Source organism: Homo sapiens, chromosome 22 (assembly GCF_000001405.40).
Source record: "Homo sapiens chromosome 22, GRCh38.p14 Primary Assembly".
Lineage (NCBI taxonomy): Eukaryota > Metazoa > Chordata > Mammalia > Primates > Hominidae > Homo > Homo sapiens.
In genome coordinates, this window is record NC_000022.11 from 30180833 (window position 1) to 30207570 (window position 26738).

The following is a 26738-nucleotide window of genomic DNA, read 5'->3' on the forward strand; positions in this document are numbered from 1 at the left end:
CCTTCTTCCCTTCTCTTCCCTTCTTCCCTTCCCTTCTTCCCTTCCCTTTCCCTTTCCCTTCCTTCCCTTTCCCTTTCCCTTTCCCTTCCCTCTCCTCTCCTCTCCTCTCCTCTCCTCTCCTCTCCTCTCCTCTCCTCTCCTCTCCTCTCCTCCCCTCTCCTCCCCTAACCTACCCTACCCTACCCTACCCTCCCTCCCTCTCTTCTCTTCTCTTTTTGACAAGGTTTCATTCTATCACCCAGGCTGGAGTGCAGTGGAGCCTCAACTTCCCAGGCTCAAGCAATTCTCCCACCTCAGCCTCCTCCTAAGTAGCTGGGACTACACACATGTGCTACTATGCTTGGCTAATTTTTGTGTTTTTTGTAGAGACGGGGTTTTGCCACGTTGCCCAGGCTGGTCTTGAACTCCTGGGCTCAAGCTATCTGCCCACCAAAAGTGCTGGGATTACAGGTGTGAGCCACTGCACCTGGCCTCAGGAGTTTGGATTTCTATGCTGCTTTTTGCCTACCCAGAGCTCCTACATCAACAGCCTGTGCAAGCCTGGGGCCAGCACTTGAACCATGCTTCCAATTGCCTCTGTTCTCAGAACCCTCCCCACTCCTTTCCCTAAATCGAAACTCCCTTTCCATCAAGATAGTTCAATGGGAGAGAAGCATCAGACGAAGCTTAATATGCTGCCCTCCCACATTTGCATTTTAAAACAGAAGCTTGTTAATTAGAAAAATGAATCTCACCTAGGGATTGTGATATGAGAACAGACTGAATAAACAAGGAAGAAGAAAGTTTAAAGGGAACTTTGTAGCTGTCTTTAAATTTATGAAAGTCTGTCATAAAATGCAGGTAACCACAGACACATTCTGTGTTGTTCCAAAGCGTAGAACATAGACCCAATGGGAGGACATCCCAGGGATGCGGATTTGGCCTCAACCTATTAAAGAATTTTCCCCCAATGCTCTAGCAAATTGCCTGGCACATGGAAGGCAATCAACATTTGACTGTTTTTGATAGCAATGAAAACTGTCAGATGGTGACTGCTTCTGGCTGTAATGAGTTCCTTATCACCGGAAGTGTTCAAGACTAGTTGTGCAAGATGTCCATTCGGATAAGAATTGAACCAACTGAATACTGTAGTCTCTTCTAGCTATAAAACTCAGTGACACTTCTATAAATAGTTGAATTTCAATGGAGATTTTAGAGCAAAGGAACATTTTATCAATCCTTTTTCCAAAAGGCAGCAAAGTGGTTAAAACTGAGGGTTCTGGAGTTAGACGTTATCTGGGTTCAAACCCTGGTCACCCTACTTACTAGCTGTATGACTCTGTTCGACAATTTTAATGTTTTACTTGCTATCTCTGTACATCAGCTTCCTTATCTGTGAAATGGGGGCAATAGTAGTGTCTTTCTCACAGAGCTATTGTGAGAGCTCAATGAGTTAATACAGGAAAAGCACTTAGAAGAATAGCTGGCACATAGAAAGTTAATGTTCAATAAACATTAGTTATGAGGTATCATCTGATACCCTTGCCACTTCTACAGCTTTTTACGTCTTTTCAGTATGTGGAGGGAGGTCCTTTGTAGCATAATTGACCCTGACCTTGTTTTTTCCTAAATCAGATGCCAGCCATGGCCACTGTGATTAACCAGTGGACTTTCTATCTCCTAAAAGCAAGCTTTAAAGCTAAACAAGCGACAGGGCTGGTGACGTGCAGTTTATGAAGGATCTGCCAATGAAACACAATCATGGCTGTGGACACCCTAACCCTGCTATGTGCCTGACAAGTGATAGATAACCAGTAAATATTTGTTGAATGAGCTGGGTGCAGTGGTGTGTGTCTGTTGTCCCAGCTACTCAGGAGGCTGAGGCGGGAGGATTGCTTGAGCCCAAGAGTTTGAGACCAGCCTGGGTAACACAGCAAGATTCCATCTTTAAAAAATAAACAAATAAACAAAAATAAAATATGTGTTGAATGAATAGATTAACTCGGTAGGGTTTTATTATTTTTATTTATTTATTTTTGATCAGGTAATACATTCACATGATTTAAAATTCAAAAGGAACAAAAGGATATATAAAGAAAAACCTCCCTCCCACCCAGTCCCTCAGCCATCCAGTTTCCTTCCCCATAGGGAACTAACATAAACGCTTTCTCATATGTCTTTCCAGAGCTATTTTAGGCATAAACAAGCAAACATACTTGCTTACGCACATTTATTTCTTTCCCTCCCTTTTAAACAAATGGCTCATATACTGTTCTAGGCATGATTATTGAAGTAGCCCCAGAAATGGGAGTGAGCATGGGTACGCCAAGGAGGAATTAAAAAAGAAAGAGCTCAGGGACAGAAAAATCAACCAGGAGACTATTGCATTAATACAGATGTAAGGCGATTAGAGCCTGGACTAGTATATTAAATGGGATAATCAGGGAAACAATTGTTTGAATGTTTTTTAACTTACACTGGGGTAACCACTATATAGAGTATTTCTGTCACCCCAGAAGTTCCCTTGTGTCCCTTTGCCGCCAGCCCACCCTCCCCAGGCCCAGGCACCAACTCCTCTGCTTTGTCAGAGTTTTTCAGCTTTCGTGTTACAGGCCTGCATGCCCGTGGTGGGACCTCCACTCAGCAGAGTTAATCACAATACCAGTCAACATCAGTGGCACTTACTCCAGGCCAGACACTCCATTAAGCACCTACATGTGCTCATTCATTTAATCCTCTTCACCAACTGAAGCAGGTACTGCTTTTATCTCAATTTCTGATAAGATATCTAAGATACAGAGAAGTTAAATCACTTGATGAAGGTCACACAGTTAGTACATAGCAAAGTCAGAATTTTGAACTCAGAACAATCGGCTTCCAGTGATCATATGTAAAAATAATATAAGAAAATATTCAGACCCACACAGAAAGAGTTCATTGCTATTCATCGAGATTCAGAGGGAAGACCAATCCTTAGTAGGTTGATATAGAAGGAAGTTGTCCAGAAGCCTTCAAGTGTACTTTTAACTTGTCAGTTAAAAGAAAGCCAGTAGCCTTACTTCATAGGCATTAGCCAGTGGGCAGATTTTCACTTCATTCCCCTGCCTTCAATGTGCACAACCCCATGATGTTTTCTTCTAAGAAATTATAACATTTAGAACTATCTCTGTATGTTAAAGAATTGGTGTGGTCAGGGCATTACTGAGAATGACAAGTATCTCTCCCTATCTGTGGGTCCCAGAATATGCATGTCATTCTGAAACCACAAGGAATGCGGTTAAATCCTCTGGTCGCATCTCTCAACAAAGATTTAGCTGTTTCACTGTTGCCTCCAAAGAGCTTTTTTCCTGGACTAAGATGTTAATTCACAGTGATGTCTACTAATGGGTCTTCCATAAAGAGGAGTCTATTAAAGGAATTAATTACATTACATGTTCAGAAACTTCCCAGCATAATGAAATGACTCTCTAGCTGAAATAGTATGAGAAGGAAACCATTGAACTAAATCATAATGGAGACAAGTTTCCATAAAGTGAAATGCAAGTTTGCTAATATAACTGTAGACTATGAGAGACAGAACAGTGAAAATGCTAATAATGAAACTTTTCACTCACTGATGGAGTTTTATTAAATATAGATCATCTTTTTCCAAACATTTCAAGTTACTTATCATCTTCTATTTGAGGCCTAAGTTTGCCACTTATTAACATTGTCAATTAACCTTAAAATGCTATTTTAATGTTTTGGTTTTTTTTTAAACAAGAAAATAGTTGTCCTCAGTCAACATAGAATAAAAGAAAATAGACTCAGGTTGCATTCGATGGCATTCAAATTCCAGAGGAGGTGGTAGAACGATCTATTCTGGAAATCTAGGTTGGTTTTGACACCGTGCTGCCTAAAGCCTGGGGAGTAGATTAGATGACTTTCTGCTCTCTTATTCCACAGTATGGTCCATTTTCACACTGCAAATCTACAGAAATGATAATAGCAGAAGAAAAAGATAACAGCAGGTTAAGTGTGGTGCTAGGGATTGTGCTGGCAACTGGCAAACCACCAATTCATTGGTTTCTAGGTAGATATGGGACAGTGGTGCAAGGCAGGGTAACATGGAATATTCATTACAGTCAAAGTCTGGATTGTAATCTTAATCTTGGTTCTCCCTTTATTTCTGGACAAGTCTCTTAGTTCTCTATTCCACTGTTTCTTTAGTTGCAAAATGTGGATAGTGAACCTGTCTTTCCACCTAGGGTTTTTAACAACCAGGAGATAGAAGCAGTGGGTTATGACAGTCTACTCTAAATCTGGCACAGTACCTGTGATCCCTCTGCCTGGGCTCTGGGATAGTTTGGAGGAGGAATGGAGGGTTCCCTTGAGGGACCAGCCCATTCATCATCAGTGGTTCTAGAGAGATCCTGATCCCAGGAACCAGGAGAGCCTGGACCAGTTCTCTGGCCCCTCCTCCAGGCATTTGGGTTACTGTCGAGCAAAAGCGAGCTTCGTCGGAACCTAGTTTATGCTTAACTGAAACTTGGGCATTAGTCAGAAACAACTCAGCCTTCAAAATGAGGCCCACAGGGAAGCTGTTTTTATTAATGAAACTCATTTATGATTATAGTATATAAAGCAATCATTTGCATGCTATGAACTGTTTAAGAGATTATGGTGATGATACAATGTGTAGAGAGGTAGAAAAGTTACAGAGTTTACAAGACGATAAACCACCTTTCAATAACTTACTATTGTTTAGATTTCAAGTGCTTCTTAAAATGGATAAGCTAAATAAACTCTAACATAGTTCTAGCTAAAAGTCATTAGTCTAACAGTTCTGGTGGAAACTGTTAAACCAATTCTGCAACCAAAAAGATAAACAGCTAAAAACTGCCAGGTATCAGTATTATTGTAATATTCCCTTTATCAAAAACCTATAACTGAAATTTATAGGTAAGAGTTTACAGTAAGCAGCAGGTACCTGGAAACTTGTCAGTTAAGGTTTCCCTTTATAGAAGAACCTCTGCTGTAAGCTTTTCAGCCCTCTAAAGCCAGTAAAATTAAAAAAAAAAAAATAAAAAGAGCTTTCACTATTAGTTTCTAAGGAAATTATATAAAGGTCATAATACTAAGAGAAAAGCTTTAAATTGTCATTTCCAATAGGACATAAGCCTCCTAAGAAAAAAACAACCTTGTGTGTTTTTCTTGGGGGGGGAGGCATATATAAATAACAATCAAAAATCTTTTTCTTTCTTGATTTAATTTTAAAGGTGATAGTTAACTAAATCACTTTAAAATGACTTCCTGCTGCTCCCCCAACCTCCTCAAAATTAAGAATACAACAAATATTTGCATAGGTTTATTATTCACATTTAATCATGAATAATTCACTTTGTACAGACAGCTGGGTAAACAAGAGATTTGGAGTTTCCTTTTTCTAGAATATTTTTCCATTGGCTGAAAGGAAACAGCATCAGTGGTGATTTTATATGATTTTCAGTGCCATCTTGTTTTCTCTCCTCTGGATAGGAGACCCCTCCTCCCTCCCTCCTTCTGTCCTTTTTTTTTTTTTTTTCTGTTTACTTATTTCTGCCAGCTTTTGGGCTACACCTCATCAACATAACATTTTTCATTACAAAATGAAAAAATAGCTCAATCATTCAGTTTTTTATTCTGCAAGACAACATAAAGTGTTTGTTTCTCACTTTCCACAATATTAGAGTTTTTTTAAACTGTGGGTTTGCTTTTGTGTGAAGACCCTCTTACTGATGGGAAAATATCTTTCAGAACTAATTCTGCCTCATCATTACCTCCTCCATCTTTTCCTATCAGCCATTAACAATTTCACAATTATTTGACTGTCTGCCACAAAGTTGGTTCTCATTTCCCTCTGCACCTCCCAGGCCTACGTGAGGAAGTGGAGCACGTATCACTGAACATAGGTTTACCCAAGGCTATCAACTCTTGGGCAAGGGGGGCATAATTTACCAAAGGTCAAGGATCCTTTCAGTTCTGTGAACGTCATTAATCAAATTGCGATAGTATAACCTGTGGTTTAGGAGACAATAAGGCTTGCCATAATTCATCTACGACCAAAGAAGGGGTTGGGGGTGGGGGGGTCATCGTATATCTTTGGGAAATCCCTGCATTTTGTCATGGCCTCTGGGAAGTAAGAATTTTCGACACCCACCAAATGTCAAGCATCCACTCTAACTACGTTAGTTGAGGACAAACATTGGCTTTGGGATGTATGTGCCCTCTATTCAGCAACACATATAATAAAATGTGAATGTCGTAGAATGGCAAGTAGCATTCTAGAGAAAATTAACCATACTTTGACTAAATGAAAAATTAATGCTTTCTTCATTTAACACTTAGGGTTTACTGTATGCTAGATGTGTTCTAACCATGTCATACATATTAACTCTTTAATTCCCATAACAACCCTTTGAGATAGGTACAATCCTTATCCCCATTTTACAGATATGGAAACTGAGGCACAGAGAAATTAAGTAATTTGCTTAATGTCACCACAGGAAGTGGTAAAGGTAGGATTTGAACCAGGCAGTCTGACTCCAAAGTCTGTGCTTTTAACCACCATGCTTTGCTATGAGTATAATATCTGCTTATGGCAAAATAAGAAAAGCACAAAGAAGAAAAAAATTACCCATAGTCCCACTCCTTACTTTAGTATATTTCCTTTGTGTGTGTGTGTGTGTGTGTGTGTGTGTGTGTATTTTTTTCCGTTTTTTTCAATTAACTATGCTTTGTGAATATTCTCTCATAGAAGATACTGATTTGATTGAACATTCAGATCATTTTCTTAGTCTACTGTGTTAAGTACTGGCCCAGCTAAGTTTGGAAGCACTTATGATTGGTGGAATGGAGTGGGGTAGAGGACTGCTGATTTAGCAGATGCATTTTTTCCCCAAGCCAAAGAGCTGCCCTGAAAATGGGCCAAATATAATTTCTTTTAAGCAACCTGAAAAAAGTGTTTCAGCCTAGAGACATACTGTGACTTTTTCCTTCAAAGCATTTCATTTACGTTCACTTTATAAAGTTCAGTTTTCTTAGGGGCAAGGTAGCAGGGGCAGTGGGGGTGGTGTGGGGGAGCCGCTGTGAGTCTTAATGCAAAGAGGAATGTAGGCTAGTCAACAGGAAACCCAAAGTGCTTGATACAGCACAGTGACCTCTAATTGTACCTTGGCATGGCTGCTTTCTCTTTCTTTGATAGGTGTTGCAAAAATATAATAAATATAATAATATATCTTTTTTAAAAAAAACATTTTTCTGGTAAACAAAACTGTTGTTATATGCCAAGACAATAAGCATCTCTGAAGCCAAGACAGTAGTGGTCATTGCTATGGCCAGCTACAGCTTTTGGCCAAGTCACATGCCATCCTGTCAACAGCCAAAGAGGTAAACAGCATAGATATGTGCTGACCTAACCTCAAAAACTCTTGGGAGCACAAGGAAATTGGCTTGAAAAGACTCTCTCTTTTTCCTCCTTGTTAATTGAATTTCTGTCTCTAATTAAAGAGACAAAAACAGAAAACAGTATTCAAAAGGGAAAGTCAAAGAATAATCCCCATCTCTGGAGAAAAAAAAAAATCATTGAATCATCAGAAATATGGCTGCATTGATTCTCACTCTTTCCCTGAGCTGTTTACCCATTTTCAGGTGAGGAAGTGAAGAGGAGGGCCAAGGGCCAACTTTTTCAAAGGGCCCTCTCTGGGAATTACTTTTGTATGTACATAAATTTCCACAATAAGTATCTTCTGAAGTTTTCATGCAACTGAGTTGTTCTTTCAAACTTCTTATCCAATGTTCTAACTTGAATTGTGCTACCAGAAAATCAGGTGTATCTTAATTGCTAAGTCAAAGTTGGCTTCTTTTGGAAACCAAAACTCACTAACTTGAGCCCCTAAACTCACCCCACCTCCTTATTTTTTCCTTTAAAATACCTTTTTCCCCACTTCCTACAGTCACTAGTCTTAGGTCCCCTTGTAACCATTGCAGGCAGCTGCTGTTCGAAATTTTAAAAATGAAATTTGGGCCGGGTGCGGTGGCTCATGCCTGTAATCCCAGCACTTTGGGAGGCCAAAGAGGGCAGATTGCTTGAGCCTAGAAGTTCAAGACCAGCCTGGGCAACATGGTGAAACCCTATCTCTACAAAAAGTACAAAAATTAGCCTGTAGTCACAGCTACTCAGGAGGCTGATGTGGGAGGATCACTTGAGTCCAGGAGGTCAAGGCTTCAGTGAGCTGTGATCATGCCTGAGTGACACAGCAAGAGCCTGCCTCAAAAAAAAAAAAAAAGTTTTTTTCATTAACCCGAAAACTAAGGTCAAATCTCTTTCTGTTTCCAGTGTTTTGAAAACTAGTTCTAATTCTTTCTGTCTGAGTCTTCGCTTCTAGTCTTGGGGGAATGACAAGGCATTGGGACAGGAAACTAATAAGCCCTTCCAACCAACAGCCTATTAGCTGTTGAAGGTTACCACTTCATCCAGATTCCAAAGAGACTCCTTCAAGGAAGGATCTGGGGACCAGTGAGTACCTAGGAGCAGACTAGCAATCTTTCTCCAGAGAAGGCTTTAGTAGGTAGTAACTACAACTCACCCTAATATGTTATATTAGAGCTCACCACTTACAGAGGACTTACAAAGGGTTTCTGATGCGTATAATTGCATTGAAGTTTCACCATTATCTCCTGGGGGTGGGGGATGGGTGGGTAGTGACTATTGTACATAGCCTGTGTTGGCTGCCCCATATCTCACAGTTTATGGAGGACCTGATCTGAGTGCACCTGTACCACGTACATGGCACGTGTACCATGGCCTTGCTCCCTCCTTGCCCTGAGTCTTCCTCCTTCATTCCTTGCCCAGCTCAGCTATAGTGTCTTATATTTCAGTCAAAAGCTGTCTTTCTCCAAGACATACTGATCAGTTAGCTTAAGCTGTGAACGTTTGGTTTTGGTGTCCCCCTACCCAAAGAGGAGTCTTCAGGGCTCCTCTCCTGACACCCTGCTGCCTGCTGTTCCTGTGCTCTCACACCATGCCTCCCATCTCCCAGGACTCCCTGAGGCCACACCCCACCCAGGCCTGCTGTCTTGGAAAACCACTCATGACTTGAGCTTGAACCTTTTCTCCCACAATTAAACTCACTTGCCCTACGTCTCCTCTCTCTAAGTCCTACTAGGGGTCCAATTTGTGCTAAGAGACTACTAGCTGGCAATGGTATACTATTCTAATACCCCAGTCCTCTCAGGACCACTTATTAGCCATGTGGGCTTGGGTGAGCAATTCAGCACCCCCTGAGATTCACCTGTGAAATGGGGATAATCATTCTTTACAAGTGAGGACCAAGTGAAATAATTTGGAATGCTATATACATATCACCTGAATTCCTTCTCGCCCCTCAACCCTCTCTTTCTCTACTAAAGTAATTTCAGGGCAACATCTTCTCCTGCCTGGATTACTGCAGCAGCCTCCAGACCACAAAATTTTCTCTGCAGTTCAAGTACATTTCATTTACCATCTTGCAGATGGTAAGACATGTTTACAAGTCAGCTGGCTTCTGAATGTGTCTTCTGGGCATTGAATTCCCCCGACTACTTTCATCTTATAGCTTCAGCCACTATCCCTAGCACGGTTATCTCTTGCAGTTACTGGTGTAACTTTCGATGGCACTATGAAGTCCCCATTGGCACCTGTTTATGCCTCTCGGCCAAACCCCTGCTAAGGGGGTGACAGGGGCAGCATGCTCCAGTAAGGTTGAAGCACTCTTCTCATGGAGGCTCACCCAAGAGGGAAAGAAAAGCAGAAGGAAATGAGGGAAGGAAAGGTGGAGGCTAGAAAGACACTTTGGAAACTGTGAAAGTGGCCCTGAGCTCACATGAAATGCAAGCCAGCAAAAGTGTTGAGATTGGAAACTTTAATGTGGCCCTTTTGAGAGAACAGCTGTAGCACTGCAATTTCCTAGAAATCTGGATGGACACATTTAAAGAGAGTGAAGCACTGAATGGAAATAACTAGAAAAGAGGCTTCCTCCTGAGCTCTGAATGTCCTATCGTGGAGGAGTTACAAGAAAGAGCAAAGCTAATAGCCAACTGAAAACCCACATGTTGTACATTTAAGGTGATAGCTGGGAACCCAGATTCTATTTTTAGTCAAAAAAGTGGGGGGAACATGCATGAATTGCTATGAGCAAGAAAGGCCAGCAAGGAAAGAGAGAGAAACAAGGGAGGAGAGGCCAGTGCCAGCTTTCAGGACTGACATTATGGTGATTTTTCTTTCCCTGCTCTGAGAAGTTGATCTGGTGGTCCTAAGTTCCTGGCATTGGGCAATTTTCCAAAAGTTTGGAGAAGTTACTCATGAAGAAGAAGCCAACTCCAGACAGCTCGTCGGGAAATGTGGAGAGTCAGTGCCTGGGTGGTTTTCATACTAATCCAGGATTTATTAAAGCTCAGAAAGCAAGCAGCAGAGAAGGTTTTTATAATGAGACATTTTGCAAATAGAGTCATCAGCATTTTTTGATAGGAAAGAAAGTTTCTCTCTGAAACTTTCTGAAGGAGGTGGCTGGCTTGGGAGGATGGGAAGAGGAGGGGGGCTCCTTCTATGAGTGCTGTGGCAGGTGGGGGACTCCAGCAGTGGGAGACTCATTCCTTTCTCAGTCCCCTCCCCTTCAGGGTACAAAGTTTTTATTTGCAGTTGGGAGGAATTAGAGTCAATGATCTAATAGAGCTAACTTTTTCCTCTCAATATGGTATGATGTGGCATTGGTAGCTCTGCCAGATACTGATGCTACCAAGGGAACTTCAGTGCAGGTGGACTTCACGTTATTACATTGACTTATTCTTCCAAAGTTACATAGAAACTAAATTGTTTTAAATCTACACAAGTAGTTAAAGAAGCCCTACTGGAAATCTTTTGTAAATCTAAATATGCATCTGAAAGGCGAGTAAACACTTCCAAAAATATTTTGCTTGTAGCTCTGAATTTTGATTTGTCTCCTTTGCTGCCGGAACATTCAAGATGTATAAATGTTGTGGTGTAGATTAATCATCTGTCCATACCCACCTTGATTTTCCAGAATTTTATATTAAGCAGATTGGTTTCCCATCATGTAAAAAAAAAATCCAATAATTCTGCAGCTTCTTTGGGACTTTATAATTTTTTACTTAAAGCAACAACCAAAAAATTTTGTTATTTCCAAACACACTAGAAGACCACATCATCTAGCCCTTGAGCACAGAATTGGCCAAAGTTTGAATGAGGGGCTAGGCCCTGAGCATAAGTTGATGCTGATTGTCAGTGGTCAACTCAATGTACATACCTTCTTGGGAATGGGTTCTGTGCAAGGCACTGGCTGGGTCCGATGAAAGGAAGTCCTGAACTGTTCAGGCAGCCCATCTGATGCAGCAGCAATAAGCCCTGAAGAGGAATAGGGTTAACAAATACCAACAGTTTAACGTATACCTCAGAGCAGAGAGAGAGGTCTAGCATGGTGAGGGAAAGTTTCAAGGAGGGAGTGAATTTTGAGCTGGATCTTGAGGGGAGGTCAGGGTTTGTATACATAGAGTCAGACAGGAAGAGCATCTCCTACTAAGAGGAACAGAGGAGTGACTGCTCAGAGGTGTGAGGATTGAAGGGGGTTTGGTGATAGAAAATGGACCAGTGTGGCAGGATTTCCAGAAAGGAAATCCTGGAAAAGTTTCAGAACAAATTTTGAATTAAGGGTTTGCAAACACTTATGCGAAAACAATAATTGCTAAGAGTCAAGCATGGGTGCACTAAGAACTAGTCACTTCCTGTTTTTTATAAGGTTACTAGACTGGTAAACTACAGGATGTTGTCCAAGGGATTCTTGTGATTGGCTGGAATTTGGTCTTTTTCTAATGTAAAGTTTTATTGTTCTGTGTAAGAGTAGAACTCAACTGTGTTGAGTTCCATTATGCCACTCCTTGCAGCAAGGTATCTGACATAGGCTCTGTGATATTCTTGGTAGGGCTGTGGTCTGTGTAAGTCAACATTCATCCCCAGAGGTGATGGATCAATGGCAGGATAGAGGATGGTTTCCGTACTATAACAGGGCTTGATGTTTGGCCCATTTCATTTTTCCATCTTCATTATTGTTTGCCAATGACATAAGGAAACATACAGGCACACAGGATACCTTATCAGAGTTCCAGATAATATGAAACTGGAAGAGATAAATAAATGTATTCATTGATATATCAAAAAAGATCTTTTGGGGCTAAAATGATAGACCGAAAAAAGCAGCTGAAATACAATAGTTATAAATGCAAAATACTGTATCTAGGGTCAAAAAATCAACTTCTCAAAAAGCAGATGGAGAAATATGTCTTAACCACAGTTGATGTGAAAAGAGACCGAGGCCTTTTAGTTTACCACAATATGACCTAACAGTGTAATGCACTTGGCAAAAGAAGGCTATATTTAGTAAACATATCATGTCACTATGTTCTTTAATTCAACAAGTCCTTATTTTGTCCCCCAATATGTGTCAGGTATGAGGTTGGGCAGTGAATACACACTGGGGACCAAGACAGAAAGAGTCCCTCCCACAAACAGCCTGCAGTTTAGTAGAGGACAGAAACAAACACCAGAAAAAGTAAACATATAAAATCATTAAACCTTGTGAAAGGGGTCTGGAGGGGCACAAATAAAAGTGGGGAAGGGTCAGAAGGGACCTGCATTTCATGAAGTGGTCAGGGCAGGCCTCTCTGAGGAAGTGGTGTTTGAGCTGAGGCCATATGAAGAGGAAGGACAGTCAGAGAGACAAAACACTCCAAGCAGGACAGTGAGTGCATAGGCCCTGAGTCTGAAAGGAACTTGATGTGTTTTTGGAACTGAAAGACCAATGAGGCTGGTCCCCACTGTGGCTGCCAATGTCCATTCTCCTGTCCTTCCATAGCGATAGGGCTTCTGACACAGGGCTACCTGGCTGTAGTATATTTCCCAGCTTCCCTTGCAGTTGAACATGGCCATGGGACTGAGTTTTCATGAGTGGAATGCTAACAAAAGATCTTCTGTGACAGCTGGGGCCCTTAAGAGGTGGGTGAACCCCCCCTACCCTTCACACTTTCCTTTTCTTGCTGGATGCATCTGAGGCTTGGTAGTAACCCAGCTTATACCAGAACACCACATGGAATAGCAGATCCCCAGTCAGAAGGGGCCTTGGTCACTGAATGACTGCAGAGAATACAGCCCCTTGCCTGCTTGGATCACTCATCTCACTCATCATCACTCAACTCTCAAGATGGTTACTTGAGAGAAAAAAGATTCTATATTCTTTAAGCCACTGAAGTATTGTCATGTCTCTTACCTAACCTAACTATTACAGAAACAAAGGAGATACTAGCGCCACCAACCAGTCCACATTTAGAGCGTTGCATTTAGTCCAAAGGTTCACGTTTTTAAAAGAGACATTGACCATCTGAAGCATGTCTAGGGAAAGGTAACAATAACAACATTTAGGAGTCTGAAAACCAAGTCAATGAAAAATCTGTTAAAGACATTACAGTTGTTTAGTCTGGAAAAGAGATTTCTCCAGGGTGACATGATAACTGTCTTCAAAAATTGAAGAAGAGGAATGAAACTGAATTGGGGTAGCTCAGTGGGACCTATGGCTGGTTGGGATTTGTGATGAAGCAGATTCTCATTCAATATAGGGAAGAAGTATCTAACAATGAGGGGTGATTAGAAAAAGGCCAGATTACTTTGAGTATCAGAGGCTTCTCCCTATCACTGCACCCAGAGAATGGCCACCCACTTATGAGATGTTGCAGGGGTGATCCAATATCATTGTGGCAATGCTAGTGAATTCTAGGATTTCATGTAGAAGAGGTGATATATAATGCAGGTGAAGCCAGGTCACAACGGGGAACTGACTGTCAGTTTGGAGTGTATCCTGGAGGCAAGTAGTATCTTGAAGGTTTCTGAGCAGAGTAGCAACATGATCAAAGCAATCTGCTAGGAACATTGCTTTGGCCAACACAGGGTGGTAAAAGTCCTGATTTTTATAGCCCGTGTTGGTCATTGGGTGCTTATATTCCCTGAACCAGTAGCAATTTAAAGAAAACCAAGAGTGGGCCGGGCACAGTGGCTCACGCCTGTAATCCCAGCACTTTGGGAGGCCGAGGCGGGTGGATTATGAGGTCAGGAGATCGAGACCATCCTGGCTAACACAGCGAAACCCCATCACTACTAAAAATACAAAAAAATTAGCCGGGCATGGTGGCACGTGCCTGTAGTCCCAGCTACTCAGGAGGCTGAGGCAAGAGAATTGCTTGAACCCGGAAGGCAAAGGTTGCAGTGAGCTGAGATTGCGCCATTGCACTCCAGCCTGGGTGACAGAGCGAGACTCCGTCTCAAAAAAAAAAAAAAAAAAGGAAAACCAAGAGTAAACAACATTGATTTTCTTTACTTTATTTTTGAGATAATCCAAAAAAATAGTTATGAGCTAGCATTTTTTAACAATTTATCTTCCAAGATGAATGATCCTTTCATTTCAAGGAGCTCAAAGTACTTGACATCCCAGTCTCATTCAGGCTTGTCTCATATCTGAACCGCTATGTCAGGGGCAAGACTGTCAAACCTCCTCTCTCAGATAAGAAGGATTCACAAAGAGGGGAAGTGAGTTGTTCAAGGTCACAGTGAGTCAATGGCAGGGCAGGCTCTTTGACTGAGGTCTCCCAACCCTCAGGCCTGCACACTGCCTTGTGCCCATGCAAAGGATACCTCAACTAGGAATGTCCCCCACATACCAGAAAAACCAACCTGAATGAACATCCTTTCTGAAGATAGAAATTACCTGAGATATTTAAGGTTCAACCAATCTCATTTTGTAGATGAGGAAACTGAGGCTTAGTGAACTCAGGCCTGGGATTCCTTGTACTACATCTTACCATCCTATCTACCCATAAAATGGTAGGCCCAGAAACAACCTACATGATTACCTGGAACCAACTAGGCTATCATCATCAGCTCCACTGTCTGGAAATATAAAGGCTCACATTGGCTTTGGCCACCAAAGAGAGGAAACATTCTGCAATCCTTAAAAACTCATGGCCGAAGGGGGTGGGGAGAACTGTTTGAGCCTTGTACTTACAAAGTCAAAAGGGAAAACATGTGTTTCACATTTGTCTTGGGATGGGAAAGAAAAACTTTTCCTTTCACTTAATCTTGGTTTAAACAAACAGAGAGACTGCCCTTTCTGTAAACTCACCGAATGTCAAATATTGTTCACTCGCATGGCATTGGCTTACTAAGCCACTACAGAGCCACTTCCCTCACGTAATCCCCTCAATCCAAAGGCACTTCAACTTGAAGAGGATCAACTGAAATAATACACATTTCCTCTGATGATTGGACAAGAGGCAGCCGATGGAATCAGGTTTCCAAACCTATAACCCCTGGTTTCAGCCGGAGACTTGAGGCAATACAGCTTCAGTCATGACTCAGGATTTTGCGAGTGAAAGCAAGCACGTCAAGTGATGTAAGAAAATTCCCCCATTCCTCCAACCCACTGGCTTCCTCCTCCCTGGAGAATTCAGTCAGACAGCATTGTGTTGGGGGTGGGGGAGAAACAGAGGTATCCTGTCACTGGGTGCTGAGCTGCCGGCACGCCTCCTATCACCATTGCCATGGCCAGCGTCATCACCATCGCGGTGGCCAGCGTCAGCGTTTGACAAAGGAAGTACTCAGTTACAATTACCTTCCTGTTGGCCAGCAGCTCAGATAATTGCTTTGCAATGTGTGTGAGAACCTCATAAATTAAACCAAGAAACAGAGGGGCCAGGTCTGGGCTGAAGGGAAGTGTCAAGTGGAGGAGGCAGTGATGCAAGGCTACCTTTGAAGTCACTTTGTTTGTGAAAAGTCTGCTGTGCTCTCTTAAGGAAACTCCACTGGAATGAGGTTTCTGTGCATGTGGGGTTTAGGGCTATTGTTTTTGGCTCTGACTTTCACCTCAAGCCCTAGCTAGGACATGTATAAATCCCATAACAACAGCCTGACATGAAATTGCTCACCCTCTCATTGCATCAGGGGACTTTTACTCAGGCGGATTTTGAATGCCTCATTGTTTAATAGGACAGGAAGTTTACTCTCAATGTAAATGAGGAATCCTTTTTCTCCCCGCCTTACCTCCTTGGAAGATTCTTACAGAGGCCTGACTTGTTGGCCCTAGTCTAGCTTCTGGTCTAGCTCCTTCCATAAAAGCAGCTGCAGCCCAGCAGCAGCCTCCCAGTTTCTTTATTAGGGTAAGGCTTTTCTTAGGACCAAAGTTTTTGGGCAGGCTTTTCCCTAGAGGGAGTGCTGGGTGATGGGTTAAGTAAGGGCCACCCAGGGACAGGGTGGGGTTGGATGTGAAAAGGGTTGGATTTTCTCTTTTCAGTTTCTTCATTCTGAACTGGACCTAGGTTTTTTTTTTAATCACAGAGAGGGAAGCCCCATCTCTAAATCTTATGATGCTTTTCTTCCTTGGGATATATCACAAGGAAAAAGTGGGTGACTAGCCCACATTTGTGGCATAAGGATAGGACTCTGAAGTCCAAATGTATCAGATTAACCAGCATGAGCAAGAGGATGCCTAATTCAGAACCATGACCCTACCCTCTGTTAGAGCAAATCTCTGAGGATAGAAACTTCTAGAAAAATCCTTGTGGGCTCCCCCACATCTCACACCACACTCTGTAGGCAAACCCTTTAAAAAAGGCACAAGTATAACCCTCTCAATCTTCTTCTGATGCCCTCAGCAACAAGATTGGCTGAGAGATCTTCAAAGGGAGAATAATCTCAGATACAATTACTTTAGTCAAAGGAAACCAGTTATGGACAACAACTAGGGAAATGACAGAGACACCAACTCAGTAAGATGAGGAAGCCCTAGTTTATTTGGTTTGTATATCCAGAATCTTTTTTCCTACACATCTGAAAAGATACCAATAATGAGTTAAAAAAAAAAAATCAAGTCAACCACTGCACATGTAGACCTAGAGATTAGTCTAAGGTTGAATTCCCATCACCATTGCCTTCCACACACAGCTTCATCAACAATGATGAAGAGTCAAGGATGGGCTGGGCAGGTGGCTCAGGTCTGTAATCCCATAACTTTGGGAGGCCAAGGTGGGTGGATCACTTGAGGTCAGGAGTTCAAGACCAGCCTAGGCAACATGGTAAAATCTGTCTCTACTAAAAATATATTAAAAAAAAAATTTAGCTGGGCATGTGGTGCACACTGGTAATCCCAGCTACTCCAGAAGCTGAGGCAGGAGAATCACTTGAACCCGGGAGGCGAAGGTTGCAGTGAGCCGAGATCGAGCCACTGCACCCCAGCCCGGGCAACACTTGCTCTGTCTCAAAAAAATAGGAAGAGTCAAGGATGATCCCTGACAGTAAATATGCTAAAGATTTATTTGTTTAAAATTGCAACATTAACCAGAGTTTTACACACTTGTATATGTGTATACGCATGTAAGTGTGTGATTGTGATTTTATTTGCACCAGGTCAGGTATAACTAAGCAAGAAGTAGCAGCCTTGCTTGTGGCCGGAGCTCTGTTCTCAGAGCTGCTTTCACATTACAGTCACCTGTAGAGATTCATCCACAACACACAGATACCTGAATGCCTGAGTGTCTCCCCCAGAGGTTCGGATTTAACTGGGCTGGCCTGGGATCTGAGCACAGATCTTTTTTTTTTTTAAAGCTCTCCAGCTGATTATAATGTGTGTCCAGGTCACCATCCACTGAACTAGGCCAGCCCCTAATGCAGTCTTCTCCCTCCACTGCTCTGTAAAATTGAGCCACATTTGCCAGCTCCTTGCACAATATCCTCTCACTTGGGCACTGGTGATTCTCTCATCTCCCTGGTCCTCATCCTCGCTTCACCCCACACTTCAGCATCTGGGATCTGGCTTCCCTGTGACTATACCATGGCAAAAAAGTTCTTCCTAAAATGGCCTCAGGTATAATTCACATTTTAAATTACTTCCTACTCAATAAAAATGATTGTATTTATAAACCATCTGGTCATTCTCATGTAATGAGGTGAGAGAAAACCAAGCGGCATCCAGTGGCACATGACTGCTTGGCTGGCCCCTTCCTCAGCAGGTCTGTGTACCAGCTTCGTACAAGGCTGGTGCAAATCCATCCTGTTGAAGGCACAAATAACTGTGTATTGGGAACCCTCAGGAACCTTTGGGGGCTGGCACAGAGCTTGGCACACCACAGGTGCTCAGCAAACTTCTGATGAAACAGAGAATATTGAGTCTGCAAATTCAGGGGGTTTCCCCAACCTAATTTTGTTCTGGAAATTCAAATGACTGGACTGAGAAAAAGTTGTCCTGGTAATTACCAAACCCCCTCTCAGAGAACGCAGCAAGTGGCAGAACTAGCCAAAGAAACGCAGGCGTGATCAGTAGATATGCACAAGCATGCTATCTTTCCTACCTCTCCCCCTTTCTTTCTCCTCCCTGAGAACAGCTTTTCATATCATTGCAGAAATAAGGTGGAGGGGCTTCCTTTCCACCCCAAAAGCAATTTGGTTGATGGGGTTTTAAGCCAGGATCTCTCTGGGTAGAAATGACGTTCTGTGCTGCTAATGATAAATGGTGAACAAGGAGATTCTCTTTAGTTTTTTAGTCTGTGTAAGCACCTAAGTGCCCCAGATTCTCAACATTTGCTGTTTTGTCTTCTCTGGGTCCTATCTTGGCCATCTCACCTCACTCTGAGCTTGCTTCTGGAAGGAGGTAACAGACGTCAACTAGCATCTGCCTGTTTATGGTGTTTTTCTGTTTTATACTCTTGAGTTAATATGTTCTAATATCTCGTTGGATGGACCTTTCCCAACCCCATCTCACCCTTCCCTTTCAGGATTTTGTTATTTTCTCTCATTCATGAGACATGAATTTTTTTCTTTCTTTTTTTTTTTTCAATTAGTCTAAGGTTGAATTCCCATCACCATTGTTTTCCACACACAGCTTCATCAGTGATGATGACGAGTCAAGGATGGCCCGGGCACGTGGCTTATGCCTGTAATCTCAGCACTTGGAGAGGCTGAGGTGGGTGGATCACTCGAGGCCAGGAGTTTGAGACCAGCCTGGCCAACATGGCAAAACCCTGTCTCTACTAAAAATGCAAAAAAATTTTAGTCCAGTGGCACGACCTCAGCTCATGGCAACCTCTGCCTCCTGGGTTCAAGTGATACTCCTGCCTCAGCCTCCCGAGTAGCTGGAATTACAGGAGACTGCTACCACGCCTGGCTAATTTTTATATTTTTAGTAGAGATGGGGTTTCACCATGTCAGCCAGGCTGGTCTCAAACTCCTGACCCCAAGAGATCCACCCGCCTAGGCCTCCCAAAGTGTTGGGATTATAGGCGTCAGCCACCATGCCCAGTCATGAATTTTCTTTTAAAAAAAAAAAATCAGTGAATCTCACTGGGGTTTTTATTGGAATCATAATGAATCAGCAAGTTAATTTGGGAGTAAACAAATTTCTAAATTGAATTTTCCCATGTAACAATGGCTATATTATTCAAATCACCTTTAAAATTTCTAAGTAAAATTGTGTAGTGTTCTTTATCAAGATCCCACATAGGTTTACTGCTATGTGATTTACGGCTTTGGGTGCTACTGTGAATAGGATATTGGAATTATGGTTCTCAATAGCTTACTGGTAAAGATGAATGCCTTGATTTTGGGGTGTTTATCTTGTGTCCAGCCATTTTTCTAAATCATTTTATTAATTTCAGTAGTTTCTTTCTGGTTTCTTTAATTTTTTAAGGGTACAACCATGTGATTGCAAAGAATAATATTTTATATTGATCAAGGGGGGTGGTGGTCCAACATATTAGTGCCCTAGGACTGCTGTCATAAAGTACCACAAACTGAGTGGCTTAAAAACAACAGAAATGTATTATTATTATTATTATTATTATTATTATTATTTTGAGACGGAGTCTGGCTCTGTCAGCCAGGCTGGAGTGCAGTGGCTCGATCTTGGCTCACTGCAACCTCTGCCTCCTGGGTTCAAGCGATTCTCCTGCTTCAGCCTCTCAGGTAGCTGGGACTACAGGTGCCCACCACCATGCCCGGCTAATTTTTGTATTTTTAGTAGAGACAAGGTTTCACCACGTTGACCAGGCTGATCTCGAACTCCTGACCTCAGGTGATCCGCCCACCTCGGCCTCCCAAAGTGCTGGGATTATAGGCGTGAGCCACCACGCCCGGCCAGAAATGTATTCTTTTACAGTTCTGAAGGCTGGAAATCTGAAATCAAGGTGTCAGCTGGGTTGGCTCCTTCTAGAGGCTCTGAGGGAGAATCTGTTCGATGCCTCTCCTAGCTTCCAGTGGTTGCTGACAATCCTTGGTGATTCTTGGCACGCAGGCCCATCACTCCAGTCTCTACCTCTGTCTTCACAAAGGTTTCTTCTCCATGTGTCTGTGTATCTCCAAATCTCTCTCTCCTTACACAGCTATCAGCCATTGCACTTAGGGCCTACTCTCCTCCAGTATAACCTCATCTTGACTTGATTACATCTACAAAGACCGGATTTCCAAATAAGGTTATATTCACAGGTACCCAGAGTTAAGACTTTTTTTTTTTTTTTTTTTTTTCCAAGACGGATTCTCGCTGTTGCCCAGGCTGGAGTGCAGTGGCGCGATCTCAGCTCACTGCAGGCTCCGCCCCGCGGGGTTCACGCCATTCTCCTGCCTCAGCCTCCCGAGTAGCTGGGACTACAGGCGCCCACCCCCTCGCCCGGCTAATTTTTGTATTTTTAGTAGAGACGGGGTTTCACTGTGTTAGCCAGGATGGTCTCGATCTCCTGACCTCATGATCCGCCCGCCTCGGCCTCCCAAAATGCTGGGATTACAGGCGTGAGCCACCGTGCCCGGCAAGTTAAGACTTTAACATACCTTTTCGGGGGACACAATCCCGCAACATCTAGTGTGTTTGTCTCTGACGAGGCTACATCTAGAAGTTGTGGTCCAGCTCATGAACCATATTTCAAGATGTACATTGAAAAAAAGCATTTGTCCTGATAAAGGTGGCCACACGGTGAAGGATCTTGCATCTGCGTGATATGAGAAATGCTACGGGAACTATGTTCAGCTTGGATCCAGGCTTTTGGAAGAGTATAATGTCCATCTTCACATGCATATGGGGCTTTCATGGTACACATAATCTGTATTGGAGGGAAGTAGATTTTGGCTCAATATAATTTTGGCTCAAGATCCAAAGGATCTTTGGATTAAGGCCATTTACTAAGGGCAGTGAACTTAAAGCAGTTGTAACTTACCTCATCCTTCACTCATCTAACAAATATGTACGAGGCCTGTTATGCTCCAGGCAGCAGGCACCAGGCCAGATGTTAGGGCAATAACAGGCATATGAAAGATACAGGCCTTGCCCTCAGGAAGCTTGCAGTCTAGCAGGCCCTGACAGGGTCCAGGCAGGCTGGGTTGGCACGTCGGTCAAATTGTTTCTTAGCTAAGGCATCATGGTCTTTATGGCCTTTGAGAGGCAATATGTAAATGAAAGTGGGGGTTTGGGGTGAGGAGTGGGAGTTGAGTGGAATGGATTTTTTTTTTTAATTTATCAGCTTACATCGGAGGAATGGATTTAAAAAAAAAAAAAGATTGAAATGAACACAAGGGCTTTCCCTGGCAGGCCACATGCAAAAAAAGTCAGCTCCTTCACACCATCACTCATGTCCAACCCTCAGTGGAGAAGTTTTATCTGCACAAGTCTCAGATTCCACTCTCCTGCTTCCCATTACAGCCTTCTCAGCCTTACCCCACCCAGCCTGAGTAACGAAGCTCAACAAACAAAACAGTAACTGCTCGGGCCAGAGCCACCTCGCTGGGAAAACAAGTTCCTCTCCCAAATCTCAGCAGACAAAATAGCCCAGGCCCTAGGTGTTTCCCCTTCTGCCTGGGACATGCAGCCAGGAAAGCAAAGCGAGAAGCTCTAAATCAAGTGTTTTCAGCCGAACCAGACCCAGGAGTAGAAGGGAGAGGCCTCCACTCTCAGCGGCTGTTCCTCCTTAATGAGCCAAAACAAAGCCGATGCCAAGGAAGTTAATCTGCCCTGAGATAGGGGAGAGCCACTCCCTGAGGTGGAGAAGGAGCTTGGGCCCAGGGCACGGTCTGGCCTAGGAGGCTGGGCCTACAGAGGTGCACACGGCCAAGATCAACCTTCCAGGTGAGAGGAGGTTCAGTCTTTCAGAAAAAGGAACCCCCTGTATGCTTGTTTGCTGCCTTTTGACCATATGAGGAGACAAATACACTATTTAAAAGATCTGTCAGCCTTACGCCTGTAATCCCAGCACTTTGGGAGGCCGAGGCGGGTGGATCATTTGAGGTCAGGAGTTTGTGACCAGCCTGGCCTATATGGCGAAACCCTGTATCTACAAAATATACAAAAATTAGCTGGGAGTGGCGGCGCATGCCTGTAGTCCCAGCTACTCAGGAGGCTGAGGCATGAGAATCGCTTGAACCCAGGAGGCAGAGGTTGCAGTGAGCCAAGATTGTACCATTGCACTCCAGCCTGGACAACAGAGCAAGACTCTGTCTCAAAAAAAAAAAAAAAAAATCTGTCATTGGTGCTTGGAAATGCCTGGCACTCAACACCAAGGAGGTCTCGAAAAACATCTGGAAGAGATCATGGGGTTCCTGCCCCCACTGTCCATCCTTCCCCTGCTTCTCTGCACAAGTGCACATAGCCTCACCCAAGCACACATGGGTACATGTGTACACATACAACAGCACACATACATTCACCCTTCCGGCACATGCATCCTCACACATGTATACGTGCATGTGCACACATACCCACATACATAAACACACTCCTATATGTGAGTATGCACACAATCCACCTTCTCACACATTCTCAAATGCACCTGTCTGCGCACACATTCTCACGCAAAACACACATGTTCTCCCTCACGCATGGCTATAAGTGCACGTGCATGCATCCTTATACACACATTCACACACAAACGTGCACTCTGTATACACACGAACCTGCACCTTACATCTTCACACATGTCCATGCGTATAGGTTAATGTACACGTTTACCCTCATACACAAGCACACACATACATGCATTTTCACACATGCATATGTGTGCACACATTGTCATAGTGCCTTCACACACATGCACACACACATGTGCATCCTCACATACATCCTCACACCTACATACCCCCCATGCCCTATACTTGGGTGAACACTCATCCTCTCATACACAAAGCCCTTTTGAGCTGATGCTTCTCCCAGAGTTAATTTGACTGTCTCCTCCATGACAAGGAGGGGCCAGTGACTGGGTCTGGTTTCCATTTGGAGCTCGCAGCCTGGCACCCAGCTTGACAGACAGATGGTAGCAAAGGCCCATAGCCCCAGGTCACCCACGGGCCCCAGAGGAGTGTTCCTGCCATCCATCCATCACCCAAGAGCCAGCACCCTGGAGTTGGATCAGTGTGGTCCTCACAGTAGCTTGGTGACCATGAATAAGTTTCACAGCCTGAGTCTTAGTTTTTCATCCAAAAAGGGTGGTTAACACTTATTTCATGGAGTTGAGAAGGCTAAGATGACAGAGGTGAAGTGGCCACACATAGTAGGTGATCAGGAAAGAGCTCTTTCAGGCGGCTGCCCTGGGCCACCAGAACTCCCTGGCCACCATTCTCCAGGGCCCCAGGCACACTGGGGTGGGAACTAATGAAATCCAAATGTGAAACTCTAGGCCTTTCATGTGGTTGCTGGTCAGAAGCACATTTGATAAGGTGTCCCGGCTGTCCTGGCCGTCCCTACATGAAGTCTGTCTAGCCAAGGCATTTCCAGGGGTCTAATGAGAAGGGAACTGTGGTTGGGTGATTTCGAAGGTGATGGGAAAGACGTTGTTTTTCATTTATAAAGCTGCCAGGGCCAGTTGGGGAAAAGCAGAGGAAAGGGAAACTACAAGAAAGTAGATCCAAAGAAACAGAACCTGAAAGAGCTCCCCAGGCTGCTGCCTAGAACATCTGGAACTAAGCTAATGGGCATGGAGGGAGAGCAGCTGCCAAGCCATCTCTTGGCACGAGCTCTGAGAGCCGCCTGAGGGAGCTGGAGCAGACGCCGTGGGACTTTTCCCCTGAGTTATTGCAGCTTCCTCCTGGAGCCGGCCCGGGGTGGCGGCTCAAACATGGAAATGTGGTCTGAATCCTCTTCCCAGCAACCGCTGCTGGGCCTCAGTTTCTCTCTGTGAGGCGGGCAGTTGAGCGAAATGAAATTATAATATTTAATTATAATATTGCGAGTGTCAGACACTGCGCTGAGTTCTGCATGTGGATCCTCTTAATCCTTAAAACAACTCCAGAGGTGGCAATGATTGCACCCACTTTACAGATAGAATAACTGGTCAGAGAGGGTGTGTGTGTGTTACCTAAGGTCACGGAGCCAGCAAGGGCACCGGGTGAGAATTTGAACCCAGAGCCACTGGCTTCCTAACCACAGCGCTCTCCTGCTGAGCAGGGACAAGTACTCATCTTCCCAGCTCTCCCTGCAGTCAGGGAGCCAGAACACCCTGGGACCGGAAACTGCTGCCTGGATGACCTCAGCCAGCTACCTCGTTTCGCAGACGGGGAAAGTGAGAACCAGAGAAGGCCGGTGACTGGCCCAAGGTCACGTTGTGTCCCATATCCTCCTCTCATTCCCGGACGTCCAGCTCCCCAACAGCCCCAGCACAGAGCTGGGGAAAAATCTTCAGAGACATCCCCTTGGGAAGACAGCTGGAAGGCAGGGCTGAGCCGGGGTCATTTGTGACCCAGCGGTGAGGTGATGAGGTACTGACGAAAGTACTGTATTTCCCCCTTTTGAGAAACGCTTTGGCATCAGATGAGTCTTGGGGGAGGGAGGAGAGGAATTTGGCAGGGATCTGGTTATAAGCCATCTGGAGGGTGGCGTGAGGACCGGAAAAGCCGCTGCCCGTTCTGTTTGGTCTCATCCCCTGAATGAGGTCACTGAATGTGCACGGGAGGCTCAGCGCTGCCCCACTCCAGCCTGATGGAGAAATCCTACCCGAAATCCCAAAGCAGGGCAGGGACATTCCCACCAGATACTTTTGCAGCCTTTGTCCTGTGGGACGAAGCAAGGGATGATGACACACTCGCCTGCCCACCCGGAAGTGAGTCTCAGGTCATTGCATCAGAAGGGTGACAACCTAACACAAGTCATTGCTAAGCAACTCTCGCGTGCTCAGTATTCACATTTTCTTGCTTCATTCTGACCACTACACTGCACAGGAGCCATTATTCTCACCCCCCGCCTCCATTTACAGATGAGGACACCGAGACCCAGAGAGTTTTTTGTTTTGTTTTGTTTTTTGAGATGGAGTCTTGCTCTGTCACCCAGGCTGGAGTGCAATGGCACGATCTCAGCTCACTGCAACCTCTGCCTCCTGGGTTCAAGAGATTCCCTTGCCTCAGCCTCCTGAGTAGCTGGGACTACAGGCACCTGCCACCACACCCAGCTAATTTTGTATTAGAGATGGGGTTTCACCATGTTGGCCAGGCTGGTCTCCAACTCCTGACCTCGTGATCCACCTGCCTCAGCCTCCCAAAGTGCTGGGATTACAGGCATGAGCCACCGCGCCTGGCCTGTTTTATTTTTTGTTTTGTTTGTTTGTTTTGTTTTGTTTTCAGAGATAGGGTCTGGCTTTGTTTTCCAGGTTAGGGTGCAGTGGTGCGACCATAGCTCACTGTAGCCTCAAACTCCTGGGCTCAAGCAATCCTCTCGCCTCAGCCTACCAGGAACTGGAACTACAAATGCATGCCACCATCCCCAGCTAATATTTTTCCTTTTTGGAAAAATGAAGTCTCACTATGTTGCCCAGGCTGGTCTCAAACTCCTGGGCTCAAGTGATCCTCCTGCAGTGCTGGGATTACAGGCATGAGCCACTCTGCCCGGCCAATCTCAGAGAGTTTTGATGAAGTTACAAAATTCTGACCATGGAGCCAGAACTCAAATCTAGGTATGTGAGGTCTGAGCCCAGGCTTCCACCAGGGCCACTGTGCTGCAACTGCCACCACTTCCTGGCACCTCAAGTGACACCCGAGCATCATTCAAGGGAAATGGCCCATATCCCGGCAATTCCCCCACCCGCCCCACTTTCTTCTCTGAATTAGGGACTTCGGCAGAGACAGAGCCCCAGCAGCCTCCACCCGTCCCCTCGTGTCGGCCTTGCTCACCCACGGATGAGTCAGTTGGAATGTTTGGACATCCCAGCTCAGCGGCTGTGGTACCAGGAGCTGTCAGGAGGCGGGAATGCAGAGAATGTGGCTCACTGTGCTCCCGCCCGCCCAGGCTGAATCCGCAGAGAGGTTTGGAAGGTGAATGACACAATGTTTGTCAAGGGTTTGGGACGACAGGTGCATGTGAAGATGAGGACAAAGACTGATTCTTTTCTTGGGGCTGCCAGCACAGTTTCGCATCCCTCCCACACATGTCCGCATTCCAGGCCCAGACACTCCGTGCCCTGGGCTCCTATGAAGGGCAAGAAACCACTGATTAGGAAGCAAGAAGAAGAAAAAGAAATGTCCCAGGCTCTTAAAAGAAAGAGTGTTTGACCTCTTTACCCAAATGCCATCCTGAAACACAGCTTTTTTGTTTTTCGTTTTTTTTTTCTTTTAGAGACAGGGTCTTGCTCTGTCACCCAGGCTGGAGTGCAGTGGCACGCTCACAGCTCACTGCAGCTTCCAACTCCTGGGCTCA

The 26738-nt window shown here is 44.3% G+C and overlaps 1 protein-coding gene and 1 long non-coding RNA gene across 8 annotated transcripts in view, besides 4 other annotated features; one reads left to right on the top strand and one right to left on the bottom strand.

Annotated features, from left to right (window-relative positions):
• HORMAD2 (HORMA domain containing 2) overlaps positions 1-26624 on the top strand; it is a 129725-nt gene extending 103101 nt beyond the window's left edge. For all 7 annotated transcript variants that reach the window (XM_047441154.1, XM_047441155.1, XM_017028622.2 and 4 more), the window contains one exon: positions 26153-26624. In XM_047441154.1, coding sequence (XP_047297110.1) covers positions 26153-26335 — 183 coding nt within the window. In that variant the 3' untranslated portion in view covers positions 26336-26624. The remainder of the gene's footprint in view (positions 1-26152) is intronic.
• On the bottom strand, positions 1986-26362 carry LOC105372988 (uncharacterized). The gene is made up of 3 exons (NR_188588.1): positions 26216-26362; positions 11301-11398; positions 1986-3949 (listed from the first exon to the last, which is right to left on the bottom strand). It is a non-coding gene; the product is annotated as an uncharacterized LOC105372988 (long non-coding RNA).
• Positions 15534-15653: an enhancer, noted in NCBI's record as "active region_18827". NCBI's record gives its function as "activates an Ori minimal core promoter by ATAC-STARR-seq in GM12878 lymphoblastoid cells {active_cell/tissue: GM12878}" and the evidence as "EXISTENCE:reporter gene assay evidence [ECO:0000049][PMID:35858748]".
• Positions 24898-26097: an enhancer, noted in NCBI's record as "BRD4-independent group 4 enhancer chr22:30601719-30602918 (GRCh37/hg19 assembly coordinates)". NCBI's record gives its function as "activates an origin of replication core promoter dependent on BRD2, P300/CBP, MED14 and CDK7 cofactors, and independent of BRD4, by STARR-seq in HCT116 cells {active_cell/tissue: HCT116}" and the evidence as "EXISTENCE:reporter gene assay evidence [ECO:0000049][PMID:35650434]".
• Positions 24898-26573: a biological region, named in NCBI's record as "BRD4-independent group 4 enhancer GRCh37_chr22:30601719-30602918".
• Positions 25952-26573: an enhancer, noted in NCBI's record as "H3K4me1 hESC enhancer chr22:30602773-30603394 (GRCh37/hg19 assembly coordinates)". NCBI's record gives its function as "activates a minimal SCP1, AML or CMV promoter by ChIP-STARR-seq in naive H9 embryonic stem cells {active_cell/tissue: H9 hESC(naive)}" and the evidence as "EXISTENCE:reporter gene assay evidence [ECO:0000049][PMID:30033119]".